This window comes from Homo sapiens, chromosome 4 (assembly GCF_000001405.40).
Source record: "Homo sapiens chromosome 4, GRCh38.p14 Primary Assembly".
NCBI classification, from domain to species: Eukaryota; Metazoa; Chordata; class Mammalia; order Primates; family Hominidae; genus Homo; species Homo sapiens.
In genome coordinates, this window is record NC_000004.12 from 100,391,953 (window position 1) to 100,409,754 (window position 17,802).

At 35.4% G+C, this 17,802-nt stretch overlaps 1 protein-coding gene and 1 non-coding gene across 4 annotated transcripts in view; both read right to left on the minus strand.

Annotated features, from left to right (window-relative positions):
- Positions 1-3,174: 3,174 nt before the first annotated feature.
- SNORA101A (small nucleolar RNA, H/ACA box 101A) lies at positions 3,175-3,295 on the minus strand. Its single transcript, NR_135619.1, has one exon. It is a non-coding gene; the product is annotated as a small nucleolar RNA, H/ACA box 101A (small nucleolar RNA).
- Positions 3,296-3,388: 93 nt separating this feature from the next.
- EMCN (endomucin) overlaps positions 3,389-17,802 on the minus strand; it is a 122,682-nt gene continuing 108,268 nt past the window's right edge. For 2 of the 3 annotated variants that reach the window (NM_001159694.2, NM_016242.4), the window contains one exon: positions 3,389-6,421. The gene's annotated coding sequence lies outside the window, so the exon portion shown is untranslated. Of the gene's footprint in view, positions 6,422-9,453; positions 17,142-17,802 lie in introns of those variants that run through there. The other variant, XM_011532024.4, reaches the window with a different exon arrangement.

Sequence of the window (17,802 nt, forward strand, 5' to 3'; positions counted from 1 at the left end):
TTTAACTTCTAAAGAAACTGCCAAATTGTTTTCCACATGGTTGTGCAAGTTTACATTCCCACTAGCAACGCAGGAAGAGTTCTAGTTTCTCTATATTCCCACCAACACTTGGCATCAGTGGCCTTTATAATTTTAGTCATGCCTGTGGATATGTTGTGGTAGCTCACTGTGGTTTTACATTTTCACTTTCCTGATGACTAAGTGATATTGAGTGTCTTTTCATCTGTATGTTGGCAAGTCATACATCTTCTTTTGTAAATTATCTGTTCAAACATTTCCCCCATTTTTTAGTGAACTGCCTTATTTTTAAATTTTTGCACTCCTTACATATTCTAGATACAAGCCATTTGTCATATATATATATATATATAATGTAAATCATCTACTCTTTGACTTGAATTTTTCAGTTTATTAATTCCCATTTAAAAAGCAGGAATTTTTAGTTCTGATAAAATTCAATTTTGTTTTTAGTTTTAATTTTTTTGTATCTTATCTAGGAAATCTTTACTGATTCTAAGGAAGGCAAACGTCATAAATTTGAATTTAATATTTAAGTTTATGACACATCTTGAGTTATATTTGTGTGTGGTGTGAGCTAAGTGTTGAACTTTTTTTGTTTTTGTTTTTTGTACTTGGGTATCCTATTGTACTGAGCCATTTATTAAAAAGACTTCATTTCCCTCATTGAATTACTATGGCACACTTGTAAAAAAAAAATCAATTGACTGTAAATGTGTGTGTATATGGGAGAAAAGCACTTATTTCTGGAATCTCCATTTTGTTCCATCAGTTAAATTCTATTCCCAAGTCAGCACCACATTGTCTTGATTACTGTAGCTTTATATTAAGTCTCTAAATCCAGTAGCATGTTCTCCAACTTTTTGCTTTAAAAAAAATGGTTTTAGCTATTCTAAGTACTTTGCATTTCCATATAAACCTTAGAACCATCTTATCCATTTTTATAAAAAGGATAGCTGAATTTGGATTGGAATTGTGATGGATCTATGTATCAATTTAAATGAGAGTGACATCTTAATAATATTGAGTCTTTTAGTCCATGAGCCAGTGTTCTTTAATTTCTCTCAGGAGTTAGACAGTTTTAAGGGTATAAGAAGTGCATAGATTTTGAAAAATTTATCCCTAAGAATTTTATATTTGTCGACATTATTCTAAGTATTACTTTTTTAAATTTTCAATTTTCATTTTTTTGTTACTAGCAAAAGATAATCAGTTGATTTTTTGTATCGATCTTGTATCCTGCAACTGTAACACATTCAGTTATTAATTCTAGTAGCTTTTTTGTAAACATCAGGATTTATGTATGATCTTATCATCTTCCTTTCCAATCTATATGTTTTTTTTCTTGCATTATTGCATTTGCTATAACTACCCTGCCACCACGCCAGAACAATGTTGAATATAATAGGTAAAAGTGAATATGCTTATTTTGTTTCTAATTTTAGAATTTAGCATTTAGATTTAGATTTTAGCACTTAGATTTTTACCATTTATGTAAGAATTAGCTGTGGCTTTTTCATAAATGTCCTTTATCAGATTGAGGAAGTTCTCTTTTAATCTTAGTGTAATGAGAGGTTTTATCATAAATAAATATTAATTTTGTCAAATGCTTTCTCTACATCTATTGAGATAAGCATATAGTTTTTCTCCTTTATTCTGTTCATATGTTGAATCACAATCCCAATAATAGATTTTCAAATATTAGACAACTTGGATTCCTGGATTAAATCTCACTTATTGCTTTTTAATTTGATAGTTTTGATTTGCTAATATTTAGCAAATAGTTTTGTTGTTTTTGTACATGAGGGCTATTAGTCTGTAGGTTTTCTTTTGTAATATCTTTGACTGGTTTTATTATCAAGTAATAGCAACATCCTGGAATTTGTTGTAAAGTACTCATACTTTTTATCACTCTGACTTAGTCTATTGTCATTAATAAATTTTTCTCAGGGTTTATGGTTCACAATTTACTCCTCTGGGGCATGTATATAATTTTGGATTAAATGGTGGATATTTAGACTTCTATGTTGTTGAGTTGTTGTTATGCTCCATTTTGTCTTTATAAAAGATTATCAGACTTTGTTCTGGAAGCCTGTTAAATATTTTGTGGATTAGTTTAATTCTTGCAAGGCTACTTTTAAGCTGTGTTAGGGCTTACCTACAGTTGTGTATACTCTAGGGGTGTTTTAGAACAACTACTAAGATACGACCATTCCCAGGACATTAAGAAAGGTGACTGGTGAGGATTTTTGAATATGGTTGACCAGACCTTGAATGTTTCTCTGCTCCATATAAGATGTAGACATTTTCAGCATACAACTACTTAGTTGCTCTTTCCCGGTTGTTCTTTTCCTGGCCTCGTGGAGTTTTACTCTAAGTGTGTTCACGCCTTCCTATCCCATTATTATCAGATACAGGGTCACCTTTGTAGTTTGTTTGTTTTTTTTTTTTGAGGTCTTTCTCTGTGTAGCTCCCTCCTCCCTGGTTCCATTCTCCACAAATTCCAGTCACTTTTGTCTCCTGGTTCCAATCGCTGTCATCTCAGGTTCTAATTAGGGATCTTCTGCTATACAGCCAGTCTGGAATGTGTCAGTCAGAGCATTCATAGGGCTCATTTGTTTTGTTTCTCTTTGCTCATGAATCCCAGTTCAGCTCTTCTTCTTGTCTACTGTGTGAAATAGCCGTTCATTTTTCAAACTGTTTACAGTGAGATAGGACTGGTCCCTGTTTTTAATTATGACCTGGAGCATAATGCTTTCATCCCTTTTTATAGATAAGTAAACTGAGGCTTAGAGAGACTAAGTAGTTTGGAGATGGAGAACAGGGATTTGGGCATAGGTTGGAACTCAAATTTTTCCTATTTACTAGTTGTACAACCTTGGGCAAGTTATTTAACTATCTGCCTTGATTTTCATATCTTTATAAGGGAGATGTTTCTGCTGCTGCTAATCATATATAAGGAATAGTTTCTTACTATTACTGTGATGGTTAACTGAGATGGTGACTGTGAAGTTTTCTACACAGTTCCTGGCACATAGTGCATGTTGGATAGGGTGTTAACTAACTAATTATATTGCCCATGATCACTTTGCTAGAATTTCTCTTTTTTTAAAGGAAAGTATGAGTTTAAATAGCCTTATCTTCCTACTTATTTCTAAATGTCAGAATTCTTGTTCAGACTTGAAAACACTTTTAAACAGTTCTTGGAAGCTTTAAAATTATTCTTGGTGACCTTGGTAGAAGCTCTGACTTCAAATTCGGGAATGTAATATGGATGGCAAAATGAATATTTTCCCTTATTTGTCAAAATTTTTTTTCTTTAAAAAGTATTTAGAACAGAAAACAAGTACATTCAAGCCCAAAAGACAAATTCCCTAGAAATTGGGGCAGAGTACACCCATTTATTGGAAAATGAGAAGTCCTGTGTGTGCAGAGAAATTTTAAAGAAAAGATCAGGGGATAATCCATCCATTAAGAATTCTCCATTAAGAATACTCATTATAGGTTTAATTAATCACAATGATGGATATCTTTAACATTAGGCAATAATTGACAGTTTTATAGTGGTGAGACTATCATCACCCAAAATACAATTTTTAAAGGTCATATTCACTTTTCCTTTCAACATCATAAAATCTTGAATGACCACAAGTAGAGCTCAACAGAGAATAATCAGGCAAAAAATCAGGAATGTTCATCATCGAAGGTTTGACTATGTCCTCGGTTGATACTCATAAATTTAAATATGGTAGGTAGAAAAGAAATAACACACAGATTTGTCAACCATATGTAACAGAATAGTTCAGTTCAGCAAGGGGAATTCAGAATTCTTTCTCTGCTGGCTGAGCCTGTATGTCAGCCAACAACATCCACTTAGTCTCAGGTGACAACAGTGCCAGTTAATTAGCTTTTGTTTATGTTTTGACTATTGATAGACTTAAATTATATTCATATTATTATGCAAAACAAACACATAGAAAGTCTTGCCTTTGATCTAAATACAGGCACTTCTTTGTTGCAATGATGTTTGAACTGTGTATCAGAATAAAAAACTTACAGTAAGCCAGGCATAAAAAGTAGATCATCTAAATCAGATAATTAAAACATATTTGATTAATGGTAATTTTGGCTTGAAAACAAAATATCCTATCTCAACAGAAGTTTAAGTTGGTTTATAAAAATGCAGACCTTACCTTTGAGATTGATATAAAATGCCGTGGACATCTCTGTAAACTTCTCAATCCTCCTTTGACCTTTTTGAAAGATTTAATCTCATAGTTGTTAGATTAATGCATATTCTTTGTGTGCACTTCTTGAACTAGAATAAATTTTATTCTTTTCTGACCATTAAAATTGTTCCCTCTTCCTAATTCTTGTAAACTCTTTTCTAACCATGCTCATGAAATGTAGAGAAAATGGTTTCTCTAGGATCCAAAATAACATATTACTTATAATTTAAATTGCAGAAGAGTTCATTTCTTTGGAATATGCTGTATGTAACATGGTTTTTGCTGAAGAGCTCGGTAAATTATCTAGGTGTGCTGGGACTTTCTTTCTTTCTTTTTTTTCCTTTTTTTTTTTTTTTTTTTTGAGACAGAGTCTTGCTGTGTCACCCAGGCTGGAGTGCAATAGTGCCATCTCAGCTCACTGCAACCTCTGTCTTCTGGGTTCAAGCGATTCACGTTCCTCAGGCTCCAGAGTAGCTGGGACTACAGGCGTGCGCCACCACACCAGGCTAATTTTTGTATTTTTAGTAGATATGGGGTTTCAACATGTTGGCCAGGCTAGTCTCAAACTCAGATTTTTTTTTTTTCTGAAGACAAATGCTCTCTGATTGGCATGCTCCAGTCACTGTCTCACCATTTAAAGACTTCTAGATTAAAATTAAGCATGGGCTCAACAGTTCTAAAGTGAAAACATACATAGTGGAGATCCCTGCCTTCTTCTCTCCTCTCTTCCTTTCCTTTCTTTCTTTTTTTTTTTTCTACTTCCCATCCTTCTCAAAGAGACACCAGTCAGAAATATAGATATGCTTATGCTTGCTTGGTGTCCTTGATTATAAATAGTCCAAACATCAGGAAACTAAAATCAAGGTGATTATATAACTCCTAAAGATGGAAGTTGTCAAAATACATCACCACAAAACAAATTTTAAAAGGCTATTTTAAATACAAGATTCCATCTTCACTAAACTGCCCCTTAGATCACTAAGATAATTTAGCATCAAAATCAGCTTAGATAATCATACGTTACAAAGCTGCCACCAGCAGCTTATTAGTTCTAAAGCTTTCCAAAAAACCTCAGCCAACTTGACACTTTGATCTCACATGTCAAAAAAGTGGTCAAGGTTGATCAGTTAGCTTTTAACAGAAGAATTTGCTCCTGATGGAGTGGCAGCTATAATCATATGGTATTTTTAGAACAGTGATACAATGAAAAATAATATCATAATTATGTATTTATAAAGTGTTGATTTTCTACAAACTAGAGGTTAGCAATGATTGCTAGAGCAAATAATTACATTTCTAAAAGAAATAAAAAATGCATGGAGATAATATCAATCAAATGAGTTAATGAAAAATCATGATCCTATTATCTTAATGAATGCAGTATAGTGTTATAAATGCCCTTGCACTTACATCTTCATCACATAGTATGAATGACAAATAGAAAGACCAAAGAACTGATAAATTACTCTCCCCCTAACAGTCTGATATGTGAATCGTATGTCCCTTTCTGACTTATTACAAATGCCTTTCATTAGTGAGTTCATGTATTCTAATAATCCATCCAAAAATATTCATAATTATAGGAAGACAATAACATTGCCATTTTCACAGTCATGTTATAGTATTTTTAGAGTATTGAGTACAGTAGTTATTTATTAAAAGTAACACGAAAGCAGGAATAAAATACTTATATGTACAAAGTAGCATGGTATGATTTCTACCTAATATTTAATAATACACGTGCAACTTTTCCCTGCATTAACATAGTGGTAAACAATAAATACTAACAGTAGGTAATATAAGAACACTGAGAAAAGTAGGAAAGTCTTCATGGATAAAAATTCTTGGCCCGGAAAACTTTAAACATTAAGGAAAGTCATGCCTATCAGCGAGCCCACCTCCTGGGCTGTCAGATTCACTGCTCACAAATTCTCCTCCTAAAATTCCTTTTCCTAGGAACGCTCCTGTAAATGGAGTAATGGAATTTTTAAATGTGAGAGAACAGGAGAGCCCCGGGGTTCTTTTTGATTCCATCAAATTATTGCATGTCAGCTGGACATCACTTTACTGGGACAGACGTCTGGTACAGTCCAGCAGCAGGTATGGAAGTCGGGATTGATTCTGCAGGACTTTCTCCTTTTCCACGCTTGGTGCATAGAAGCTGAAGATTAAGCCTGTGAGCAACAACAACAACAACAACAACAACAACAAAGTTCAGATTCCAAGAAAGCGAAGAAGAAATAGAGATGCTGGGGGAGTCCATTTCTTAGTAAGAAATGGTTGTCACTAGCTCCATTTTTTCCACCTAGTAGAATCACTTGACTGTCTCTCAAGCTCTTCAAACTTGACATATCTGAAAAGAAAAGCTCGTTTTCTTTCCCAAACCTGTTCCCCTCACTTCACAATCTCAATCTTTGGTATTTCCTCCATGATGCATTCAGGCACCCAGGCTGGGAGTGTGGGTATTGTCTATAGTCCTATTCTTCCTCACTCCCCATTGGCCACATCCAATCAATCACCACATCATGAAATTTTTAACCTCCAGACATTTTTCTCTATTCTATTCTGCCTCTTCATCTTCCTCCATACTGCAGCTCCCTAGCTTAAGCCTTTATCTTTTTCCAGTGGAATATTGCAATAGCCTCTGACTTCTCTGCTTCTGATCTTGCTCTTCTTGAATGAGTCTTCCAAATTAAACACACACTGGTGTATATCAAGCACAAATCTCATATTCCTTTTCTGATTAAAGTCCTTAACTGTACCCTATCACTGATGGGATACAGTTCAAGATCTGTTGCTTGGGGTGACAATGTGAGTAATTAAAAAATTTATGGGCAACTTTAAAGCTTTGCTGCTTTCTACTCATCAGGGAGAAGAATGAATAGGCATCAGAAGAAAGAATGAATGAATACCATTTGCCACTTCTTCATAGGAAAGGTAGCCAAGCCTTTGGTTTAGTATTTTGCATTTTTCTCTGCAGTGTAGGAACAACTTTCGATATTGGTCTATAAAAGAGCAAGAGATGGAGACTTCTATGTCCCAAGTACGAAAAGGGTAGTGGCCCAAACTGGCAGAGATTAGGTGGTGTTGTGTTGCTGATGGCAGTGTTGGTGGTTTGCTAGGTTCTGGGGAGAGCATGATATGGTGTGTGTGGTGGGGTGTGGGGAGTGGTACAAGTGGCGGAGACCTGTAACCAGCTCTTTCCTGGTTTGGTTGGTGAAGGCAAGTTCTTTGATAGGGATGGCCGAACTGTTGCTTTACATGGGGGAAAGCAGGACATTGGCGGCTATGGCCTGCGGGTAGCAGCTACAGGTATCCATGTCAAGTCTTAGGATAAGGAAAGGATTGTAGAACAGGATATCCGTGACTTCTTCCCAGAGCATCTGTGGCTGCTAGGCAGTCGAGCACATGCCAGAGCATGGTATAGCTTAAGTACCATGATTAGAAGGATGATTGCAGACAAGGCCTCTCCTTCAATTACTGAACTAGTTTTTTAGGCATATTTTATATCCAAGGTCAAGTGAGGGGTTCCTCAAAATGATAAATGACTTATTTTTTTATTTTTATCTTCTTTTTTTTAAACTTTTATTTTAGGTTCATGGGTATATGTATACAGGTTTGTTATATAGGTAAACTGCATGTCATGGGTTTTTTGGTACAGATTATTTTACCCATGTAATAAGCATAGTATTTTTCAGTCCTTACCCTCCTCCCAACCCTCTACCCTCAAGAAGTCCCAGGTGTCTGTTGTTCCCTTCTTTGTGGATAAAGGACTTTTGATGTCATTAGTGAATGAAGAAAGTTAGTACTTCATTCTAGCCTCATGCAATCCTTCATGATTTATCTTGGGAAACAAGGCTTCCTGTGATCTAGTACCCTCTACTACTTGAGCCTTGTTTCCCAGCCAGAGGTCAACGCTTCTCAAGCTGTTTATAGTGAAGGACAATGTTGGTTTCTAACAATATCTAATCAGCTACAAACAGACATTTTAAAAAATACAATAACATGAATGTTGCAGCAGTATCAGATTGCTATAACAGTTTTTAAAGTTTTATGATTTCTTTCATATACCATTCAGTTTCACAATTCTTTTCCTATTTGTACATGCTATTCCCTGTGCCTGGAAAATCTTTCCTCTCTTCACCTAGGCCACATTTTTTTTTTTTGTTTTTTGTTTTTTTTCTCATTCTGTAAGTTTTAGCTCAAATACCATCTCTAAGAAATTTGCCACTAAACTTCACGTTATCATGTCTGTCTTTACATAACACTATGTTATCATTTACCATATTATACTAAAATTATTTTTCTTATGTGTGTGTCTTTCCACTTCTATAAGCTCCTTGAGAACTGCAACCATGACAAGCCCTCCTTATATCTGGGATAGTACTTGACAAGGATTAAGGTCTGCCACTTTTTGTTCAACTGAGCCATACTCCTCCATAGATGAGTTTTCAAGTGAAGTCAAGAGTTTGTAGCATAGTTCAACTGGTAAACATCTGAATTTGTGCTAATAGGATAATGCTCATGATTGATACTGTTTCAATTATTTTCTCAAAGATCAGCAACCTAAATAAGAACAAACTCTAGTTTCATCAGCATGCATTTCACATTGACAATCTTTCTCAAAAAATAAATCTTGCTTCATTAATGATTCTTTACGTCCATACCAATATCAGTCTTTGCTTTTTTTTTACAACATTATAATCCCTCTAAAATTAGTGTGTTGGCTTCAATAATAATGGTATAGGACTGAATAGTCACTGAATCTCTCACAACCTAGATTTTCATATATTTGTGGTTTTTATAATGAATAAATGGCTATTTTATAATAAGATTTCATAATATGTTTCTTTAACACTACTGACAACAATTTATAAACAATCAGAATGGCCATAGGAGAAAAGATCATTTTGTCTTGGTTTTATAGATGTGGAACCCAGTGTAGAGCATTATTAAGAAATTCATTCAGGATTATAGAGTACGATCATAATATACAGTTGGCCTTCCATATCTGTGGGTTCTATGTCCACAGATTCAACCAGCTGTGAATTAAAAATATTCAAAAACAGTAAAAATGAACAATACATTAATAAAAAATAATACAAATCGAAATATAGTATAACAACTATTTATATAGCATTTACCTTGTATTAGGTATTACAAGTAATCTAGAGATAGTTTAAAGTACTACATGAGAGAATTCGTGTAGGTTATATTCAAATACTATGCAGTTTTATTTACATCAGGGACTTGAGCAACCACAGATTTTGGTATCTCCAGGCCTTTTGAAATCAATCTTCCACCTCCATGAATACAGAGAGGCAATTGTAAATATCCTTTATTTATGATGTTTTCCTTTTAGCTTGTGTTATTTTATTTTAAAATGAAAGAAAAATAATTGAAAAACATGTTAAGCTCTTCTGGAAGTTCACAAAGCTACTCCCAGATTATCAGGGCACCATTAAGAAAATTACAGAAGTATCAGGGAATTGTATCTTGGAGAAAAATGGAAATAGCTAACAATCCACATTGCTGAGGGTCTGTGGGAACGGACTTTGATCCAAGCTACCGGACTTTCTAACACCACAGTTCTTCACTGGTCTGAAACCCCCTTCACTCTTCAGCCTTCAAAGGTGTCTTGGAACAGAAGGAAGATGAGACCTACTGGTGAGGGAGCAACCAGGTAGCAGCAGATTCCCCCTTGACAACAGTGCAGAGTTGGTCATAGAACAGTTAAATGGCTATCTGTTCAATTCTAAAGTTGTTATTTTTCCCTTTTAATTTTATATCTTAGACATGCTTTCATGTTATTAAAAATTATTTCGAGAATTATTTTTACTCATTATATAATGTCACTGTGCAAAGTATAATTTATTTTATAATTTCCATATCATTAAACATTTAAGCTGCTTCTACGTATTTGCTACCCCTCTTGTATATGATTTCATGCTCCCACGAAGTAAAGCTTTGCAGAAGGCAAGGTTTATAGCTCATAAATGTTTCAAAATTCCTGTCTGCCCTGCCGAATCACATTAAACATAATACTGTGCACTAAATAGATGATCAATATATGAAGCAACAAGCATTAAATATATCTAAAATCTTGTTTTGATATGGAAATTTTTAACATAGGTGATGATTTCTGTATTACTGTTTGCTGTTTCATGAGGGTTCAAGACTTTTTAACTTCTTTCCTGAAATCTTCTAGGTTTGATGAATTCATTTCTATATATTCTGAATCTCCAAGTTGATATCTAATTTCAAGTTGACAACCTAGATAGTAGTTACTCTTTGGTTATTAAATTCAAAGTACAGTGATAGAAATATCTTAAGGAAAAAAGTGAGACAGACAATAGAATTGAACAGATGTCAAACTTGTTTCTTCCCATTACTTTCTGATCTTTACTCTTCAGAACATCATTATATAATTCCAAAATTACAAAAAGGAGCAATAAAAGTTATTTAGCTTTTCAAATCAAAAGGCTTGGAATCTGAGGCTAGGAATATTTTTTAAAGTACAGAAATGGAAAGGAATGGGAGTTGAACAAAAATTACTTTTATTAAGCTGGTTCGAAGATCAACACTGTTCCTTGCCTTCTATATACCTTTTCTTTCTTTCTTTTTTCTTTTTTTTCCAACTGCAGAAGACTTGCTTTTTCCAAGTTGGACAATTAGTTACTAATATTTGAGCATTTTGGTAATTTAAAAAACAGCCCTTTACTAGCCACTGGGTTGCAAAGCAACCATAGCAAGTAGAAAGGAAGGTTTCCATATATCAGCTAGGGCTGGACAACGTCTCTCATCCTCATCTTCTCAAACTTTGCACCTGAAAGTGTCCATTGCATAGGATGGACCAACTTCCAGGTTCCTTTTTTTTCCTTTAAAACTTTTATTTTAGTTTCAAGGGGTACATCTGGAGGTTGGTTACATGGGCATTGCACGTCATAGGGGTTTGGCGTTCAGACCATTTTATCATCCATGTAATTGGCATAATACCAAATAGGTAGTGTCTCAATACTCATTCTCTGGTGTCTCTTGTTCCCCGCTTTGTGCCTTTAGTGCTTGGCACCCCCTTAGAAATGCGAAGATAAAGTATTTGGTTTTCTGCTCTTTGGTAACTTCACTTAGAATAATGGACTCCAGATTCATCCATGTTGTTGCAAAAGTAACAATCTGGCTCTCTTATATGGCTGCATAGTATTCCACAGTGTATGCGTACCACATTTTCTTTATCTAGTCCACCACTGATGGGCATCTAGGTTGGTGGGCATCTAGGTTGGTGGGCATCTAGGTTCATTCCATGTCTCTCTTATTGTAAATAGTGCTGTGATGAACATACATGTCATGTGATTTGGTAGTAAAACAATTTGTATTTCTTTGGTCTGTATCTAGTAATGGGACTGCTGGGTTGAATGGTAGTTCTATTTTAAGTTCTTTGAGAAATCTCCAGGCTGTTTCCACAGTGATTGAACTCATTTACATTCTCACCTGCAGTGTATAAGCATTCCCTTTTCTCTACAACCTGGCCAGCATCTGTGACTTCTTGACTTTTTAATGGTCACCATTCTGACTGATATGAGACAGCATCTCATTATGGTTTTGATTTGCATTTCCCAAATGATTAGTGATATTAGGCACTTTTGCATATGCTTGTTGGCCCTGTGTATGTCTTCTTTTGAGAAGTGTGCATTCATGTCCTTTGCCCATTTTTTAATGGGGTTGTTTTTTACTCTTTCATTTGTTTAAGTTCCTTATAGATTCTGGATATTATACCTTTATCGGATGCATAGTTCGTGAACATTTTCTCCCATTTTGTAAGTCGTCTGTTTACTCTGTTGATAGTTTCTTAGGCTGTGCAGAAGCTCTTTAGTTTAGCTAGGTCTTGTTAGTTTTTGTTTTTGTTGCAATTGCTTTTGGAGTCTTCATCATGAAGACTGATGCACAGAATGGTATTTCCTAGGTATTCTTCTAGGGATTTTATAGTTTTTGTTTTACATTCAAGTCTTCAATCCATCTTAGTTGATTTTTGTATATGATAAAAGGTAAGGATCCAGTTTTAATCTTCTGCCTATGGCTAGCCATTTATCCCAGCACTATTCCTTGAATAGAAAGTCCTTTCCCCACTGCTTGTTATTGTCAGCTTTGTTAAAGATGAGATGGTTATACGTGTGTGGCATTATTTCAGAGTTCTCTAACTTGTTTCATTGATCTATTTGTCTGTTTTTGTACCAGTATCATACTGTACTAGTTACTGTAGAGTTGTAGTATCATTTGTCATACTGTACTAGTTACTGTAGCCTTGTAGTATCATTTGAAGTTGTAGGTGTGTGGCATTATTTCAGGGCTCTCTAACTTGTTTCATTTATCTGTGTGTCTGTTTTTGTATCAGTATCATACTGTACTAGTTACTGTAGCCTTGTAGTATCATTTGAAGTTGGGTAAGGTAATGCCTCCAGCTTTGTTCTTTTTGCTTAGCATTGCTTTAGCTATTTGGGCTCTCTTTTGGATCCAGATGAATTTCAGAATAGCTTTTTTCTAATTCTGTGAAAAATGTCACTGGTAGTTTGATAGAGAATAACATTGATTCTGTAGATTGCTTTGAAGAGTATGGCCTTTTTTAACAATATTGATTCTTCCAATCCATGAACATGCAATGTTTTTCCATTGGTTCATGTCATTTCTGATTTCTTTTGACAGTGTTTTGTACTTCTCATTATAGAGCTCTTTTGTCTTCCAGGTTAACTATATTCCTAGGTATTTTATTCTTTTTGTGGCTCCTGTGAATCAGATTGCATTCTTGATTTGTCTCTCAGCTTGGATGTTGTTGGTGTATAGAAATGCTACTGAATTTTGTACATTGATTTTGTATCCCAAAACTTTGCTGAAGTTGTTTATCAGAGCTAGGAGCCTTTGGGAAGAGACTATGGGGTTTTCTAGGTATAGAAACATATAATCTATGAAGACAGATCGTTTAACTTCTTCTCTTCATATTTGAATGCCTTTTATTTCTTCTCTTGCCTGACTGCTCTGGCTATGACTCCCAATACCATGTGAATATGAGTGGTGAGACTGGGCATCCATGTTTTGTTACAGTTTTCCCAGGAACAATTCCAGATGCTTTTTCCCATTCAGTCTGATGTTGGTTGTGGGTTTGTCATAGATGGATCTTATTATTTTGAGGTATATTTCTTCAATGCCTGGATTGTTGAGGGATTTTAACATGAAAAGATGTTAAATTCTTTCACAAGCCTTTTCTGACTGCACTTATTAAGATGATCATGCAATTTTTGTTTTGAGTTCTGTTTATGTAATGAATTGCACTTATTGATTTATGTATGTTGAATCAACCTTGCATCTCAGGGATGAAGCTTTCTTGATCATGGTGGATTAGCTTTATGACATTCTTCTGGGTTCAGTTTACTTTACTAGTATTTTGTTGAGAACTTTTGCATCTAGGTTCATCAGAGATATTGGCCTGAAGTTTTCTTTGTTCATTGTGTTTCTGCAGGTTTCATGATATCAGTGTGATGTTAGCCACATAGAAAGAGTTAGGGAGGAGTTTCTTCTCGTTTTTTTGGAATTGATTCAGTAGGATTGGTACCAGCTCTTCTTTGTACACCTGGTAGAATTCAGCTGTGAATCTGTCTGGTCCAGGGCTTTTTCTGGTTGGTAGGGTTTTTTTATTACTGATTCAATTTTGGAATGCATTATTGGTCTGTTCAGGGTTTCAATTTATTCCTGGTTCAATCTTGGGACGTTGTATTTTTCCAGGAATTTATCTATTTCTTTTAGGTTTTCTGGTTTGGGTACATAAAGATGTTTGTAATAGTCTCTGGATTTTTTGTTTGTTTGTTTGTTTTTGTATTTCTGTGGAGTCAGTGGTAATATCCACTATCATTTCTGATAGTGTTTATTTGGATCTTCTCTTTTTTCATTTTTAGTCTAGCTAACAGTCTATCAGTCTTATTTATTCTTCCAAAAGGCAAACTTTTGGTTTTGTTGATCTTTTGCATAGTTCTTATCATCTCCATGTCACTCAATTCATCTCTGATTTTGGTTATTTTTCTTTTGCTAGCTGTGGGATTAGTTTGTTCTTATTTGTTTAGTTCCTCTAGGTGTGATGTTAGATTGTCAATTTGAGATCTTTCTGATTTTTTGATGTGGGCATTTAGTGCTATTAACTTTTGTCTTAACACTGTTGAAGCTGTATCTCAGAGATTCTGGTATGTTGTATATTTGCTTTCATTAGTTTTAAAGAATTTCATAATTTCTGCTTTAATTTCATTGTTTACACAAAAGTCATTCAGGAGCAGATTATTTAATATCCACTTAGTTGTAGGGTTTTTAAAAATCTTCTTGGTATTGATTTCTACTCTTATTGTGCTGTGGTCGGAGAATGTGGCTGGTATGATTTTGGCTTTTTTGAAATTATTGAGAATTTCTGGCTGAGCATGTAGTCAATTTTAGAGTATGTGTCATGCATGGATGAGAAGGATTTATATTCTGCTTTTGTTGAGTGGACTTTTCTGTAGATGCATGTTAGTTCTATTTTGTCAATTGTCAAATGTAGGTCCCAGATGTCTTTGTTAGTAATCTGTCTTGATGATCTCTCCAATATCATCAGTGGGGTGTTGAAATCTACTATTATTGTGTGGTTACCTATGTCTCTTTGTAAGACTAAAAGAATTTGTTTTATAAATCCAGGTGCTGTAGTATTGGGTGCATATATTTAGGATAGTTAAGTCTTCTTGTTGAGTTGAACCCTTTATCACTTCCTTTCTTTGTCCTTTTTGATCATTTTTGGTTTAAAGTCTGTTTTGTCTGAAATAAGAATAGCAACCCCTGCTCTTTTTTGTTTGTTTTCTATTTGCTTGATAAATCTTTCTCCATCCCTTTACTCTGAGCCTATAGGTGTCCTTGAATGTGAGATTGGTCTCTTAAAGACAGCATACACTTGGGTCTTTCTTCTTTAATCAATTTGCCACTTTATGCCTTTTAAGTGGAGTGTTTAGCCCACTACCATTCAAGGTTAATATTAATATGTGTGGATTTGATCCTGTCATTCTGTTGTTACCTGGCGTTACGTAGACATGATTGTGTTTTTGCTTTATAGCATCAATGGTGTATGAACTTTAGTGTGTTTTTGTAGTAGCCAGTAATGGTCTTTCATTTCCATATTCAGCACTCCCTATGAACCTCTTGAAAAGCAGGTCTGGTGGTAATGAATTCCCTTAGTATTTGCTTGTCTGAAAAGGATTTTATTTCTCCTTTGCTTATGAGGTCTAGTTTGGCTGGATATGAAATTCTTTGTTGGAATTTCTTTTCTTTAAGGATGCTGAATATAGGCCCCCAGTCTCTTCTGGCTTGTAGAGTTTTGGCTGAAAGGTCCAGTGTTATCCACTGCTGTGGTTCCCTTTGTAGGTTGACCTGCTCATTCTCCCTAGCTACCTTTAATAGTTTTCTTTTCACATTGACCTTGGAGGATCTGATGACTATGTGTCTTGGGGATGGTTGTATTATATAGTATCTTGCTGGGGTTCTCTGAATTTCCTGAATTTGAATATCAACCTCTCTAGCTAAGTTGGGGACATTTTCATGGACAATATCCTCAAACATGTTTTCCAAATTGCTTGCTTTCTTTCCCTGTCTTTCAGGGATGCCAATGGGTCATAAGTTTTGTCTTTTTACATAATCTCATGTTTCTTGGAGATTTGTTCATTTTTGAAAATTCTATTTTCTTTATTTTTATCTGACTGTTAATGTGAAGAACTAGTCTTTGAGTTCTGAGATTCTTTACTTGACTTGGTCTACTCTGCTGTTAATACTTCCAATGTGTTATGAAATTCTTGTGGTGAGTTTTTCAGCTCTGTCAGATCAGTTTTGTTCTTTCTTAAAATGGCTATTTCATATTTCATTCCTTGTATGGTTTTGTTGAATTCCTCAGATTCCTCGGAATGGGTTTCAATCTTCTGATTTTCAGTGATCTTCATTGCCATCCAGATTCTGAATTCTATTTCTGTAATTTCATCCATTTTATTCTGGTTAAGAATCACTGCAGAGCAGCTAGTTCAGTCATTTGGAGGTAAGGAGGCAATCTGGCTTTTAGAGTTTCAGGAGTTCTTGAGCTGGTTCTTTCTCACCTATGTGGACTGATGTTTCTTTAATTGCAGTGTAATTTGAGTATAGTCAGTCGGTTTCATTTCTGTATGTGTTCAGAGGGCTGAGGCTTTGTGCAGGGTCTTTATTTGCAGTTGAGTTCTTGTCCTTGGTTTTACAGAGGAGTATATTACCAAAGTATTTTTGGTGTTGAAGTTTGGTTTGCAATTTAATAGATAGTGCTTAAACATAATGACTGGTAGATAGGCTCTTACCCAGCCATGCAGCCCCTCTGTGTTTCCTCACATTTGTAGCCATGCTTCCCCTCAGTGCTCTGAGAGTGTGTGATCCTCTCCCACTCAAGTGCTGGTCATAGATCTCAGCTTAGCACTCCCAGACTGTGCACTGCAGGCCTGAGACAAGCTTAGGATTTTTTCTCTCTCCCCAGCTTGGTGGCAGCAGGGGCAGGGACCTTGGCATGCCACTCAGAGCCACTGCCAATTAGAATAATCAGCTGGGGAAAGGTGGTTGCATTGCAGGCCCAAGCTAGGGGCTCATGACTGGTGAAGAGCAGGAGGGCAGGGGAAGGCAGTCTTGCCTCTTTTCCATAGGGCACTGCAGCATGCTGGAGGTGCACAAATTCCAAGATTCCTAATCCATCCCTAATTACTGGCTAGAGAGGGATAAAATTCTGATACTGACACATATGTTTGGATGGCACTCCTCTGTCTCTGTCTTCTGCTACTGGTCAGACAAGCACAGCAGGTACCATTTATTCTACAAGAAATTTCTGAGTGTCTGTAACAGAACAGTGTTAGTTAATTAGGGATTAGACATAGGCCATGAATAACAATATTTCTCATCGTGGACACTTTACCTAGAGTGACTATCATTGTGGTCAGGCCAATTCTGGACACGTATTTATTTTATTTTATTTTATTTTTTATTGTTAGTTGCCGAAAGGTAGATTCTTCTGCAAGTTTTATAAAACCTCAAAAACTAAGTGACAGCACTTAATCAATACTTCTTGTAACAATTAAATTAAAGTCAGAAGAGCATTTCCTTACTTAGTTCTAGGAAAGTAAAAGTCAATCCCATACCAACTGGGAGACTTAATTCCAAAGCAGGTTTAACGTTGGCCTGAGCTGTTTACTAAAATAAGAAACGTACCTGCCTTGAGCTTACTCCTGGTCATGACATGGAACATACTTTTGAGAAATTTCCATTTTTTATTGATTCACAATTATTGTAGTAAGATTGATCATTTGTATCTGGTTTTGTCAAGATACCTGGAGGGCTCTGTTGCTTGGCTGGTTACACAGCAAGACTATGTCTACATGACCAGCTGAGTAAAAGGAAACCTGGCTGAAACTGAATTTTAGATCATCTTGTTTGAGGTGTTTTTTTCCACACATCCATGGTTTCTGGACCCAGAGAGAAAAATATAAGGACCATATTC